The sequence below is a fragment of the Homo sapiens genome, chromosome 3 (genome assembly GCF_000001405.40).
Source record: "Homo sapiens chromosome 3, GRCh38.p14 Primary Assembly".
Lineage (NCBI taxonomy): Eukaryota > Metazoa > Chordata > Mammalia > Primates > Hominidae > Homo > Homo sapiens.
In genome coordinates, this window is record NC_000003.12 from 111,222,327 (window position 1) to 111,238,934 (window position 16,608).

The 16,608-nt window shown below is 39.9% G+C and overlaps 1 long non-coding RNA gene across 1 annotated transcript; it reads left to right on the forward strand.

Moving 5' to 3' along the window:
• Positions 1-247: 247 nt before the first annotated feature.
• LOC124909493 (uncharacterized) lies at positions 248-6,430 on the forward strand. The gene is made up of 2 exons (XR_007096274.1): positions 248-4,591; positions 6,333-6,430. It is a non-coding gene; the product is annotated as an uncharacterized LOC124909493 (long non-coding RNA).
• Positions 6,431-16,608: the final 10,178 nt, after the last annotated feature.

Consider the following 16,608-nt stretch of genomic DNA (forward strand, 5'->3'; position numbering starts at 1 on the left):
TATAGAAGAGGCATTAAGTGATCTTGTTTGTGTCTTTGTTGTTGTATCACCCACACAAATTGAAAAGCAAGAAAAAGAAAGATTATCTTTTCTAATTTTTCCCCCTCTTCCCCCACTAAAATATAAAAGCATGTGTATTAGTCAGGGTTCTTTAGAAAGACAGAACCAGTAAGATATATAGACATAGATATAGATATAGATATAGATATAGATATAGATATAGATATAGATATAGATATAGATAGATATATATAAAAGAAGGCATTTATTAGGGGAATTGGCTCATGCAATTACAGAGACTGAGAAGTCCCACCACAGGCCTTCTGCAAACTGCAAACTGGAGACCTTGGGATGCTGGTAAAGTGGCTCAGTCCAGGTCCAAAAGCTTCAGAACCAGGGAAATCAATGGTGTAACTCTCAGTCTGAGGCTGAAGGCCTGAAAACCTTCTTAGGTGGAGTTGGGACTGCTGATGTTAAGTCCTGGAGTCCCAAGGCTGAAGAGCTGTGGGTCTTGATGTCCAAGGGCAGGAGCAGAAGAGTGTGTCTCAGCTCAAGGAACGAGAGGAAATCCTTTCCTCTGCCTTTGTTTCATCCTGGTCCCCAGCCAGTTGGATGTTGCCTGCCCACACTGAAGGCAGATCTTCTTCACTCAGTCTACTGACTCACATGCCAGTCTACCCTGGAAATACCGTCCAGGAAACACCTAGAATTAATGCTTTACCACTTCTCTAGGTATTTCTTAATCCATTCAAATTGGCACCTAAAATTAACCATCACTGCATTTTTAAAATATTGAATGCTCTATCATCTGGGATCTAAAACAGTACCTGCCACAAAATAGGCGTTCAGTAGACATATGTTGAATGAGTGAATGAATGAATTTATATCTGAATCATTTTAACAAATAAGAAATGTATGTGGTACATTCTAGACAGAAATTCCTGAGAACAGATGTTCTGCATGAAAACACGAAAGCACTAAATATTTTTAAAACAATCTGTTAATAAAAATAACACAAATTAGCAACCAAATACATCTGAAATTGAAATAATTGCTAATTTAGCAGAGAAAAGGTCAATATATAATGTAATTGATCTTTGTCCTTCCCTACTATACACCTTTCAGACAATGGGTGTTGAAAGTACCAATTTTCTGAATTAACAGCTAATAGATTTTTATCTTCAGTAATAATACTCTACACTTATGTGACACTTTATAGATTACAAAATATATTTCATTGTCACATTTGATTATTATACAAACAAAATATTTTATGTGCTTATAGTTGGGTTACATGCTATTGAATACAAAAGAAATAAAGATGGAGTGTCAGAGTATGCTAGTGAACTTCCAGAATCTGTTTCTTCTTTCATAGAAACAAAATTACCAATTTTGAGCTGGACATAGACCAACAACTAAAATATGTGATAATATTCACACTGTCCTGCAACAAAGCTAAGAAAATTCCATTTTGGTCAATGGAATTTAAGTGAAAGTGTAGACAACTCGTCCCTTAAAGGGAAGAGACATGCACTTTTTTTATCCCTCCCTACACCTTGGAATGTATATATAATGGCTGGATCGCTAGCGTTTATTTTAACCATGAAAACAAGGGCCACAACTGTGTTCATCTTATCCTCCATTGTATTTCCAATACTCAGCACAAGCCATGGAACATAGTAGGTATACAATAAATATTGTCTGAAAAAATGAATACACATGATTTCCTTTATCAGTTTCTCTTCTACTTCTACTTTCTTCTTGGAGAGGCCTGGACAATTATATTCTTAGGAAGTAGGTATGATAATAGAGATAATAAATGTCCACATTTGCAGTCCCATGCCATGCCACAAATCATCTCTAGCCACTTACACAGTTCATTAGCTCCATAAAACTACAGAACTCTTAGGAATTCCCCATTTGTAATTCTTGGGAGAGTCACTGAGTGTAAGCCTTCACCATAGCATAAGGAACTTGTGCAAGATAATTTTTTTTTTTTCTTTTTTTGAGACAGAGTCTCACTCTGTTGCCAGGCTGGAGTGCAGTGGTGCAATATCCGTTCACTGCAATCTCTGCCTCCCAGGTTCAAGTGATTCTCCTGCCTCAGCCTCCCAAGTAGCTGGGATTACAAGTGAACGCCACCACGCCCAGCCAGTTTTTGTAATTTTAGTAGAGACGGGGTTTCACCATAATGGCCAGGATGGTCTCCATCTCCTGAGCTCGTGATCCACCCGCCTCGGCCTCCTAAAGTGCTGTGGGATTACAGGCATGAGCCGCCGTGCCCAGCCAAGAGAATTTACGTCACTAGGTGGACACCAGATAAGATATATTTTAGTAAGTTAATTTTAGTAAATTAATTTAGTAAGTTAATTTGAGAAAAGGAAGCAGAAGACCTAATGAGACACAAAGTATGATCAGAGACAGAGAGCAGAGAAGAATTAATGTCAGGAGGGAACAGAGGTCTGCCATTGGGGTATAATTCATGTCTCAGAGGCCGGCAGAGTAGGTGTTGGGGCTGGGGCTGCTGCATAGGCAGTAACTTTTGCCCCCAGAGTTCTCACAGGTATCATTCAGTCACTGACAATTTCTGCGATTTTATGACCAACTTTATTTAAAAGTTCATTTTGCAGTATCTGTCTCTTGTCATTGCATATTGTTTCAAGGTGTAATTATTCTAAAGCTTTTGAGAAAAGATATAGATATATTTTATGGCTATACAGCATATTTCCAAGATCATTTAAAATATCCTAAACTCACAAACTTCCAAAGTTTCTTAGTAAATTGCTCAGGTAAAATAACATTAGTGTAGTATCAGAAAGGCTTCAAGGAACTTTATACAAAGTAATAGCGTGTTTCTACTACCTTACTGATTTGAAAGATAATGCTTAGCAACATCCAATAAAATATCTTGAAATATTAAGGATTCTCAGTCTTACTGGACCCCAGATGGACCCACTGCCTATTTTTTATAAAAGATGGATTTTGTGTGTGTGTTTAATGGTGGTATTTTTTGCAGTAGCTAATGCCAAGATTTCAGTAGAGAAATTTGGTGCTGGAAATATTTACTATAGTGCTGGCACATAAACCAAGAGCTATCAGACTTTAATGCTTTTTTCCCTAAACTTTTTATAGGCTTTCATTTTTAATTGTTGCCAATCTGCTGATTTTATTTTAAATAGATACTTCAAGGCTGTGCTTTGTCAAAACAGACAGATGTATCATTAAATTCCCTCCCAAATTACACATTAGGCAATGTCTTTGTTTCATGTGCTACAGAGGTATTTGAATTTGTTATAATCTGGAGTTAAACAGGAGGCCAGAGAGCTGATTTTCAGAGCAAAATACTCTATAATTTAGAATTGATTGCTGTGATTGCGTATAGTTTGGTGAAATGCACATTGGCCAAAGTGAAGGTGGGCATGGTTCTTTGTGCTCATTCTTGTGGGTCATAGGGGCATGGTTTTGTTGGAAGAGTCTAGTGGAAGAGTCCATATCAGAAATCTCTGGGATTGCTTTTCCCATCTTTTAATCATCTCTTTAAAGAAAAGAGTGAGGAATATTGAAAAGTGATTCTCAAATATTTCTTTTCAATTGGATTATGTAGTAGTTTCCAATGGCTGCTGTTACAAATTACCAAAAATGTAGTGGCTTAAAACAACACAAATTTAGAATCTTACAGCTCTGCAGAAGTCTGAAATGGGTCTTACTGGGCCAAAATTAAGGCATCAGCCGAGCTGCATTTGTTCTGGGGGCTTGAAGAGAAAATTTATTTCCTTGTTCTTCCAGCTTCTAAAAACTGCACACCTTGGCTCATGGCCCTTCCTTCATCTTCAAAGCTAGGAGGGTACCATCTTCAAACCTTCTCTTACTCTGACCTTCTTGATCCATTTTTCGCTTCTAAGAACCCTTGAAATTACATTGAATTCCTCCACAAAATACAGGATAATATCCCTCCTGCAATATCCTAAACTATCTCATTTTCAAAGTCCCTTTTGCCATGTAAGGTTACATTTTCACAGGTTCTAGGGATTAGGATCTGGACACCTTTGTCAGGTAGTTATTCTGCCTTCTATGGGTTATGTATCTAATGGATGCGTATTAAGCAATTTCTGTGTGTAAGGCTTTTTTAAAAAAGGTGAAAGCTCGTGATAGATTTTCTTCCAGCCTGGACAACTAAGTCTGGAAAACATCTTTTAAACAAACAAATCTAGTTAATGGTTTTAACAAATGTAAAGAAGTGGAGGCCATTTTGAGGAAAGGAGCCTATTTTTCAATAACAGAGGCATCTAAGTAAATTGAAGCTTTATGAGAACTAGATGCATATTGTTGCCCATTGTACCCACCTGATAATACGCAAGACAGTGATGCTACAATATTCTTTAGTGACCTCTTGTTTTCTCATCCCATAAAGAAAATCCAAGACCGAAATCTCAGAATTGGGAGAGTAAAAGTTCAAAAGAAAGGAAAAGAAAAGAAAAGAAAAGAAAAGAAAAGCGAAAGAAAGAGAGAGAAAGAAAGCAAGCCTGATTATCTTGTTCACATTCTGGTTCACCTGGTTCAAAGGTTGAGGTTAAAATATTATCCTAAAAAGGTAATTTGTGGGAGGGGCTTCAAGATGGCTGACTAGAAGTATTTCATGCCCACTTCCTCCATTTGGAAGAACCAAAATAGTATATGGACAGTCACACTTTGAATACATGATCCAAGAGAATACTGGAATTTAACACAAAAGTGACAAGAAACATCAAAAGTGGGAAACGGGAAGGAAGAGAGGTAGCCTGCTTGGCCAGTATTGGCTGGGAGCTGGGGGTGGCTTTCCAACATGCAGAAAGGGTGAATGAGAAACTTCCAGCAGCTCACATCCCCATTATGATGTTATGTGATCTGGGCCACAAGAGAATCACTTGACTCTCCCTACCCCTGTTACTAACATAGGGAGCTTCTGGGAAACAGAACAGATTTGCAGTCCCAATTCTGGGATACTCTGGGATGAGATGGAACTGCTCCAAGGAAGGAGCTTGTGCTGTGGCCCACACCCTTTCTGAGATCTAAATGTCTTCAGCATCACACTGTTTTCCTTTATAGTGATGCAAATGGACCAAAACCACAAAGAACTCAAATGACTCAACAGGAAAAAAAAATCCCAGTAAAATGTGGGCAAAGGACATGAGCAGACATTTCTCAAAAGAGGACATACAAGTGGCCAACAAGTATTAGAAAAAATGCTCACCATCACTAATCATCAGAAAAGTGCAAATCAAAACCACAATGAGATATCACCTTACCCCAGTCTCCAGTCAGAATGGCTATTATTGAAAAGACAAAAAATAATACTTGTTGGTGACAATGTAGAGAAAAAGGAACTCTTATACACTGTTGATGAGAATGTAAACTAGTACAAGCACTATAGAAAACAGTATGAAGAGTTCTCAAAAAAAACAAAAATAGAACTACTATACTATCCAGCAATCCCACTACTGGGTATCCACCCAAAGTAAAAGAACTCAATATATCAAATGCATACCTGCACTCACTGGTTTACGGCAGTACTATTCACAATAGCAAAAATATGGAATCAACTTTAGTGTTCATCAATGGGTGAATGTATAAAGAAAATGTGATGCACACACACACACACACACACATATACACACAATGGAATACTATGTACCCATAAAAAAGAAATCATCTCATTTGCAGCAACATGTATGGAACTGGGGGTTATTATCTTAACTGAAATAATCCAGGCACAGAAAAAGACAAATGTTATTTTTTCTCATTTATATGTGGGAGCTAAAATATTTGATTACATGTAGATAGAGAGTAGAATGATAGATAACAGAGACTGGGAAGAGTGAGTGGGAGGAAAGTGTGAATGAAAAGAAGTGGCTTAAAGGGTACAAACATACAGTAAGATAGAATAAATAAATTCAATGATTTATAGAAGAGCAGAGTGACTATACTTAACAAAAATGTATTGTACTCAGGAGACGGACACCCTAAATAACCTGACTTGATCACTATGCATTATGTATATGTAACAAAACTTCTCATGTGGGTCATTAATGTGGTTTGAATATTTGTCACCTCCAAATCTTATGTTGAAATGTGATTTTCAATGTTGGAGATGGAGCCTAGCGGAAGGTGTTTGGGTTATGGGGGCAGATCCTTCACGAATGGCTTGCTGCTCTCCCCACAGTAATGAGTGAGTTCTTGCTCTGTGAGGTCATGTGAGATCTTGTTTGAAAAGGAGCCTGACACATCTCTCTCTCTCTTATTGTCTCACCATGTGATACGCCTGCTCCTCCTTCACCTTCTGTTATGATTGTAAGCTTCTGAGGCCTCACCAGAAGATGAACAAATGTTGGTGCCATGATTGTACAGCCTGAAGAACCATGAGCCAAAATAAACGTCTTTTCTTTATAAATAATCAAGTCTTATGTTTTCCTTTATAGTAACACAAATAGACTGACACAGAAAATTGGTACCAAGAAGTTGGGCATTGCTATAAAGATACCTGAAAATGTGAAAGCAACTTTGGAACTGGGCAAGGTGCAGAGGTTGAAAGAGTTTGGAGGGTTCAGAGGAAGACAGGAAGATGAGGGAGAGTTTGGAACTTCTTAGAGAGTTTTTAAGTATTTTGACCAAAAGGTTGATAGAAATATGAACAGTGAGGTCTACTGAAGTGAAGACCTTTAAGATGAGGTCTTATATAGAAATGAGGAAGTTACTGGGAACTGGAGCACAGGTCACCCATGTTATGCCCTAGGAAAGGGCTTGGCTGCATTGTTTCCATGTCCTGGAGCTTTGTGGAAGGTTGAACTTAATGTGCCACAGCTACTTTTAAAGCTTAGATCAGATACAGGAGCAAAGAAATGACTTTAAGTTCAAAGTTATATTTAAAAGGGAAGCAGAGCATAAAAGTTTGGAAAATTTGCAGCCCAGTCCTTTGGTGGAGAAGGAAGGAGCATTTTCAGAGGAGGAATTCAAGTGGGCTGTGGAGAACCACTTGCTAGAGAGATCAGCATGACTGCAAGGGAGCCAAATGCTAATAGCCAAGACAATGGGAAAAAGACCTTGAAGGCATTTCAAGTCTTTGTGGCAGCCGCTCCCATAACAGGCCCAGAGACTTAGGAGAAAAGAATGGCTTCATGGGCCAGGTCCAGGGCCCTGCTGCTCTGTGTAGCCTCGGGATACTGCTCTCCACATCCAGGCCGCTCCAGCTCCAGCCTCAGCTAAAATGGCCCCAGGTACAGATCCACCTGCTGCTTTGGAGGGCACAAGCTATAAGCCTTGGCAGCTTCCACACAGTATTATGATGTCTGTGGACACATGGAATGCAAGAGTGAAGGAGACTTGGCAGCTTTCACTTAGATTTCAGAGGATGTATTCAAAAGCCTGGATTCCCATGCGGAAGCCTGCCACAGTGGCAGGGCCCCCACAGAGAGCCTCTCCTATGGCAATGCTTGGAAGAAATGTGGAGTTGGAGCCCCCACACAGAGCTGCCACTGGTGCACTGCCTACTGGAGCTGTGGAAATGGCATTGCTGCCCTCCAGGCCCCAGGACAGTAGAACTACCAGCGGCTTGCACCCTGAGCTTGGAAAAGCTGCAGGCACTCAACTCCAACCCATGAGAGCAGCCTTGGGGCTATACCCTGGAAAGCCACAGGGGTCGAGCTGTCCAAGGCCTCAGGGGTTCACCCCATACCTCAGCGTGCCCTGGGTGCAGGGCGTCGAGTCAAGGATTACTTTGGAGCTTTAAGGTTTAATGTCTGCCCTGCTGAGTTTCACACTTGCATGGGGTGTGTTGCTCCTTTCTTTTGACTGATGTTTCCCTTTTGAAATGGGAATGTTTACCCAATGGCTGTGCCACCATTGTATCTCAGAAGTAAATAACTTGTTTTTGATCTTACAGGCTCATAGGTGGGAGGAACATGTCTTGAGTCTCAGATGAGACTTTGGACTTGATGTTGAAATGAGTTAAGACTTTAGGGACTATTGAGAAGGCACAATTTGTATTTTGCAAAGTAAGGACATGAGATTTTGGGGGCCAGGGGCAAATAATATGGTTTGAATATTTGCCTCCTCCAAATGTCATGTTGAAACTGATTCCCAATATTGGAGGTGAGGCCTGGTGGGAAGTATTTGGGTCATGGGGGCAGATCCTTCATGAATGGCTTTGTGCCCTCCCTGTGGTAATAAGTGAGTCCTCACTCTGTGAGTTCACGTGAGATCTGATTACTTCCCCCTTCTCTCTTACTTTCTTGCCATGTGATATACCTGCTGTCCCTTCACCTTCTGCCATAATTGTAAGCTTCCTGAAGCCTCACCAGAATCTGAGCAGATGTTGACACCATATTGTACAGCCTTCAAAACTGAACCAAAATAAACCTCTTTTCTTTATAAATTACACAGTCTCAGGTATTTCTTTCAAGTAACACAAATGGACTGACACAACCATAATTTGTAGAAATGAAAAAAGGGCCTGTGATCCCAGCGCCCTGAGAGACTGAGGCAGGAGGATCACTCTAGGCCAAGAGTTTGAGACCAGCCTGGGCAACAGAGCAAGACCCCCTTCTCTACAAAAAAATTTAAAAATATAGCCAGGCATCATGATACACACCTGTAGGCCTAGCTACTCCAGATGCGCAGGCAGGAGGATCACTTAAGCCCAGGAGTCTGAGGCTGCAGAAAGCTGTAATCATGTAACTATATTCCAGCCTGGGCAATAGAGCAAGACCTTTCCTCTATAAAAGAAAAAAAGACAATTTAAAATCTTCAGAAAAGGTATCTCTGGATGGACAAATATGAAGCATGGTATTGGAGCATCTTGAAATGAGGATGGTAGGGAATTTTCTGTCAACTCTGACAGCTGCCATGTTTTGTGAATGATGTGGCTTACCAAGTTGTATGAAAAATTGTATGAAATGAGTATGCCTTACAGAGTAAGCTAAGCAACTGAGGAAAATTTAATTGGTTTGAATATGATAGAAGAAAAGCAAGCCCTGCATTTTATGTGGAGCCATTATTTGAGAAGCCTGTGCATTGTTATTAGTAAGTCTTACTAAATTCTGAAAATGTTGTCTTTGGTTCTAAAACCATCCCTGCTTTTAAGACTAAATGTTTTCTGTTCCTTTTAAGGCCTCCAGGGTGCATTTAAACCTCCCTTTCCTACCTGAAGTTTGTCATGTGTTAGCCACTTTGGTTTCCACTGAGTGAAGCAACATCCCATTGGGTTTTAGAGGTGCTTCAATCAATTTCTTACAGGAACTCCCTTGTGACTACCAAATCAAGTTTTCTCTTTACCTTCCAGGAAAATATAGACACTTTCATATATCCTCCAAGTTCTTTGGGCCACTTAAACTCGGGGAAGGATATATGTGGGTCTTTCCATGCATTTCTGTCATTAGAGGTATTTGGGCTGCCTCGCTGAGGGTAATCCTGGGCACCCACTACCAACATGTGCCACAGACAGTGGCAGACTTTCTACTTTTAAGGTAGCTCTTTTTCTGTGTTTTCTTTTTTCTTATTAAGATAAGAAAAAGGAATTGATGTTTATTTCCAGAGCCTCTTTTTCACTATATAAAGTAGTGATTATTGATGTTCAACTGTTTTTTAGTTAATTTACCTATTCATTCATTATTCACTTACTGAGTATTCTATATACAAGGCACTGTGCTTGGAATTCTTTTCATATTCTATTTTTGAATGCAAAGAATAGGCAGAATAAACACATAGAAAAGAGAGACACATGTTCTTGCCAGGGTTCTAGACCTGGCTTTGTTATAATGTCCATAACACTGTGTGACCATGAACAAATCCCGTTCTCTCTCAGGAACTCTGTTTCTTCCACTGTGAAAGAAGATGGTGCTGGTTGATCTCGAAGTATGCTCTAGCCCTAGATTCAAAAGAATGTAAGCCTGGGGTGCAAAGCTTCATGATTGCACTTTCTCAACCTGTGATGGAGAATCACAGGAAAAGGTGGGATGGAAAGATTTCTTCTAAAAGGTGATACACTTTAAGGGAAATACTCCTTTATTTCCCCTTAATTAAACCTTTTCTCCTCTTATTAGTATGACACAAGAAAAGAAGATGAAACTTATTTAAAATAAACCCAAGGCAGACAAACAAAATGCTTTGTTATTGTAAATAGAGGGTGGTAACAATTTTTAGAAAATTAACCAACTTTATTTTTAAATTACAAAGGTAGCATATACTCACTGCACGAAATTTAGACAATAATAAAAAGCAAAGGAGAGTGGGATAAAATTTAGCAATAATCCCACTATTCAGAGATACTCACTGTTAGCATTTTATTGTGCTTCTGCATAGTCTTATAGTTTTTTATAGCTCCAAATAAAATTGAGAATATTCTTCATATAATACACTTTGTTTTACAAAACACCATGTTGTCAATAATTATAAAATAATGCATACCTATTGTTATAATTTTGCAAACTATTTAAAAATAAAGAAGAAAAAGATAATCACCTTAATCATCATTTTAATTCTTAGATAATAAGACTTACTCTCTCATTTTGTGCTTCATGCTTTATTTTTCACAAAGATCTTGTTTGAGACTTGGCGCTATTTTTCAGTCAACATTGTTTCTTCAGAGACGCGTGACACTTTCCTCTTTAAGCACAGGTAAAACAGCATGCGGTTCCTACCCCATGGACACTTCTCTTGGCAGCACAGGGATTAACTTGGCATCAATTACACTAAGTGCTATTTAAGGAGGGAGGAGGTGTAACCTGGAAATTAAACCATTAACACTAAATTAAGGCCATCATGAAACAGTCAAGAAGCCTTTTAGACACAAATACTCTTTCTTCTCTATCTTTCTGCTTTATACAGAAATCAGGACTACCTTTCTTTTCAAGACAAGTTTCTCCTGCTTTCTGCTAAGGCAATTGGCGCCATGCTGCATTTCAGGGCTCATGAAGAATTCACTTTCCCACAAAAGAAGCATTTATAGTGCATATTTTTTGTAGTCTGTATTAAGCTTTCTGTGCATTTGTGTGCATTTGTGCCCAGGTACACATGTGAAAATTTATAGACATCTACCTAGGCATTTTTAAGCATTCAAACTCAAGTCATAAATACTACAGAAAAAAATTATAAAGGGAATAGAAGTCAGAATACATTTTATTTTTGTGGTTAATATGTTTCTCAATCTGGCTAACTTTGATTATCTTGTTATATAGAAGGTTTTAATATATCAAAAAATTTACAATATTTATCTATTTATTAATATTTATTGAGGGCCTACTATGTGTCAGAACCTCTAGTAGGTATTGGGGCTAGAACAGTGAACAAATAGACAAAATGCCTGACATCCCAGAATTTTTTCTCCAGAAGAGAAAGGCAAACAAAAAGAAAATAAATAAATAAAATATTTTAGATGTTAATAAGTGCTTGGGAGAGACAATAAAGCAGGGAAGAGGAACAGAAAGTTTGTATGGATGTGAGTAGGTGTTGGTGGGTGACTTCATTGTTTGTGCTTTTATAATAAAATATCTTAGACTAGGTCATTTGTAAGTAACAGAAATTTATTTCTCACAGTTATGAGAGATAGCTATGAAATTATTTTGACTGAAAACCCAAAGATCCTAAGGTGCTGGCAGATTTGGTGTCTGTTAAGGACTTGCTGCCTGCTTCCAAGAGGGTTGTAAACCCAAAAGTATCTGAGACAGTTATCAGTCAATTTAGAGGTTTATTTTGGCAATGTTAAGAACCATGACTTGTGACACAACCTCAGGAGGTCTTGAGAAGATGTGCCCAAGGCGATTGGTTGGTTTCATACATTTAGGGGCACAGAAGGTACAGGCCAAGATATAAATCAATATATGTGTGGTATACATTTGTTCAGCCAGGAAAGATGGGACATCTCAAAGTGAGGCCTTCCAGGTCATAGGTGGATTCAAAGATTTCCCAATTTGCTGCCAGTTGAAAGTGTCAAACTTTGCCTAAAGTGTTTGAAGTCAGCATAAAGAAATGCTTGAGTTAAGATAAGAGGAAGTTGTAGAAACCAAGGTTGTTGTCATGTATATGAAACCTTGAGGTAGCAGGCTTCAGAGAGAATAGACAGTAAATGTCACTTATTGGACTTTAAAAGGTGCCAGACTCTCTGGAAAAGATCTAGTAAGAGGAGGCGATTCTCTACAGGATGCAAATTTCTCCCACAAGAGACAGCTTTGCAGGGCCATTTCAAAATATGTCAAAGAAATATATTTTAGGGTAAAATACTTTGATTTACTTCAGGGCCTACTATCTGTCATGTGATGCTATACCAAAGTCAAGTTGGAATTTCGTATATTTATGGTACGAAGAGCCTGCTTTGTTAGTCTTAAGATCTCTGTTTTTTTTTTTTTGAGACGGAGTCTCGCTCAGTCGCCGAAGCTGGAGTGCATGTGCCATCTTGGCTCACTACAAGCTCCGCCTCCCAGGTTCACACTATTCTCCTGCCTCAGTCTCCTGAGTAGCTGGGACTACAGGCGCCCACCACCATGCCTGGCTGTTTTTGTATTTTTAGTAGAGACGGGGTTTCGCCAGGATGGTCTGGATCTCCTGACCTCTTGATCCGCCCACCTTGGCCTCCCAAAGTGCTGGTATTACAGGCATGAGCCACCGCACCCTGCCAAGATCTCTGTTTTAAAGTTAATGCTAGTCAGTTGTGCCTAAACTCCAAAAGGAGAAGGAAATAATGAGGCATATCCAATCCCCGCTTCCAGTCATGGATTGAACTAGCTTTTCAGGTTTCTTGGGGGATCCCCTTGGCCAAGAGAGAGATGCATTCAATAAGTTGGGGAGATTCGAATTTTATTTTTGGTTTTCAGGGTGCCTTGCTGCTATGTCCTCCATAGGAGATGAATGCTGTGTCCTCAAATAGTGGAAGGGTGGAGGGAAAAAAGTCCTAGCTAGTTCCCTCCAACCCAGTTATAAAGCACTAATTCCATTTATGAGGACAAAGCCCTCAAGGCCTAATCATCTCCTAAAGGTCCCACTTCTTAATACTGTGGCATTGGGGATTAAGTGATTAAGTTTCCAAATAGATTTTGAAGGGGACACAACATTTAAACCATAGCATTCCATTCTTGGCCTCCCATAGTTCACGTCCTTCCCTCTTACAAAATACGTTCACTCCATCTCAATAGTCCCAAAAGTGTTAACTTATTCCAGCATCAACTTTAAAGCTCAAGTCCAAAGTCTCAATTCCATTTTATCCGAATCAGATATGTGTGAAACTCAAGGTATAATTCATCCTGTGGCAAATTTCTCTTCAACTGTGAGTCTGTGAAATCAAACAAGTTACATGCTTCTAAAATACAATAGTTGGACAGGCTTAGGAGAGACATTTCCATTTCAGGAAGGGGAAATAGGAAAGAAGAAAGGATTGATGGATCCTGACCAAATTCAAAACCCAAAAGGGCAAACTCAAGGCTTGAGAATAATCTTCTTTGACTCCATATCTTGTCTTCTAGACACCCTGGTGTGAGATTTGGGCCCCCAAGACCCTAGACAGCCAGCTTTTCTGGACACAGCTTATGCCACAGTTCTCAGGTTTTGGAGTCTGGTGCCTGTGGCTCTCCCAGGCTGGAGTTACACACTGCTGTGCCTACAGGTCTGGGATCTTGAGAGCAGCCCTGCCCCCATGGCTCCATTAAGAATTTCTCTACTGGGGGCTCTATGTGGCAGCCCTGCTCCTGTGGCAGTTCTCTGCCTATGCCCTTAGGCTCCCTGAGATATCAATTTGAAATCTAGGTGGAGGTGGCCATGCCTGCCCAGCTCTTTCAGTCTACACAGCTGCAGAACTGGCATTGTGTAGATGTCACTAAGGTTTAGTGCTTGAGCCTTCTAAAGGATCAGCCTGAGCTAAACCTGGCCTACATGAGCCATAGTTGGGGTGGCCAAGGAACTCCTCCCGAACGTGTGGAGAAGAAACTTCAGGTGACCCTGGGCAGTGAGCCTCAAGGCCCCAGGAGCAATGTGGGCTCCTCCTTGAAACCATTCTGTCCTCAAGACCCTGGATCAGTGGGCCTGTGATAGGTGTGGCAGCCACAAAGTTCTCAGAAATGCCTTCTGGGTCTTTTTTTCCATTGTCCTGATGAATTACAGCATCTGCCTTTCTTCTATCTATACTAATCTTAGCAAATGTTTGCTTGGCCAAACTCTTGGCTTTCTGATATAGTCTGAATCTGTGTCCCTACCCAAATCTCATCAAATTATAATCCCCAATGTTGGAAGTGAGCCCTGGTGAGAAGTGATGGGATCCTCATGGGCAGGAGGATGGAGCAAATAAGGAAAGTGAGAATAATATCTGGGAAGAGCTGCAGCTAGGATGCCAACCCAGGTTTTTCCAAAGCCTCATGTAGGTCCACTAAACCAGCACTGTCCAAAGCGTGGCTCACTTTGGGAGCTTGTTAGACATGAATAATCTTAGGGCTCATCTCAGACCTTCTGCATCAGAATCTGCATTTTATCAAGGTCGTCGGGTGATTCTTATGCACATTAAAGTTTGGAAAGCGCTTCTCTACCCTACTGCCCCCGAGGATGGGCTTCTTAATATTCTGATGAGAGTCCTGCATCCCAAGCAACCCCCTGAGTGCCAGGCAAACTGGGATGGTAGATCGATCAACCTTCTATCACTGAAGGCACAGTTGGTCATAATGAAGAACATCTGCTAGACGTCATTGCTCTGGCCCTGTGCCATTCCTTCCAGTGCTCGCACTGTCTGCCTCTGGAACAATATCATTCCTAGAAGAGGCCCCTCACAATAGGTGAGCTATGGAAAGTCATTTGAGATCTGACGAGATTAAAGCACTTCATACAACTATCCACCCAGAATCATGATCATTGCTAAAATAACCTCACACAGTGTATAGCAGATGTGACAATGTGTGAGGCAGGGCTCAATCTGCCCAAGCTTATCAAAGAGAAAGTTTCTCCCTGAGAAGCCAAATGCTGTGAGAGAGACCCCATAGAATGTGCCAGACTGGAAGGAGCCATCAGTCTTGTGAGCTGCTTCTCTAGCTCTTCAGAAATAATGAGTGTCCAGCATCCAGCAGGATGTGACTAAATGGCTAGAAGTTATAAAGCTGAGTGCCAACTGAGAGACTGTCCCCACTAAACAAATCTGCCAACAACCTCTGCACACACAAAAAAAACAAATTAGGTAAATGGCCAGGCCACTCTGGAACCAAAAGCTTTCTCACTCTCCCAACATGATGTGTCAGGCATCTGGTATGCCAAGATGATGATAGAAACAGTTACAGATTAAAGAGGGTGCACTATGGGCCAAGTACAATGCTAGGTGTTTACTAGATTTTCTCCTGTAAGCCTCATAACAATCCCAGGCAGTAGCTTTATTCACAGATGGGGAACTGGGGTTCAAAAAGGAAAATAACTCGGAGAGCAAGTAACAGGACAAACATCCACAACTGGTTATTTCTGTCTCAATCCCATGTTCTTAACATCATTCTAACCTGAATTTGCTTGGGTCTCTGTCCCCATACTCCCTGCAAAAGCAATGCATTTTTCATCAAAGAGGACATTTGTGGGTATCACATCTGAGAGCACAGCCCAACACACCAAACCTTGAAAGTGGTTCTGGGTTAGAGAAGATAATGAATAGGAAACATATTTAAAATTTTGAGGAATCACCACACTGCTTTCCAAAATGGTTGAACTAATTTACACTCCCACCAGCAGTGTATGAACATTCCCTTTTCTCCACAATCTTGCCAGCATCTGTTAGTTTTTGGCTTTTTGAATAATAGCCACTGTGACTGGTGTGAGATGGTATCTCATTTGTGGTTTTAATGTGCATTTCTCTAATGATTAGCGATATGGAGCATTTTTTTATATGCTTGTTGGCCACATGTATGTCTTCTTTTGAAAAGTGTATGTTCATGGCCTTTGCCCACTTTTTAATGAGGCTGTTTGTTTTTTGTGGTATATTTCTAAAGGAATATAAATCATTCTGCCACAAAGACACATACACATGTATGTTTATTGCAGCACTATTCACAGTAACAAAGACATGAATCAACCTAAATGCCCATCAATGGTAGACTGGATAAAGAAAATGTGGTATATATACACCATGGAATATTATGCAGCCACAAAAAAGAATGAGATCATGTCTTTTTCAGGAACATGGATGGAACTAGAGGCCATTATCCTTAGCAAACTAACACAGGAACAGAAAACAAAATACCCATGTTCTTATTTATAAGTGGGAGCTAAACAATGAGAACACATAGACAGAAAGAGGGGAACAATGACACTAGAGCCAACTTGAGGGTGGAGGGAGAGGTTCAGGGAAAAAAAAACTATTAGGTACTATACTTAGTGACAAAATAATCTGTATACTAAACCCCTGAGTCATGAATTTGCATATATAAAAAACATGCACATGTACCCCTGAACCTAAAATAAAAGTTAAAATATTTTTAAAAATTTAAAAAATAAAATTTTGAGGTTTCTATAATTATCTATGTTCTTGGTACTTAAGCAATAATTATGTGAGGGTATCCTAGGTTTAATGAATACAAGAATGACAATACCCAGCATTTTATAATATGTAATCATTTGCTTGCTCGATAT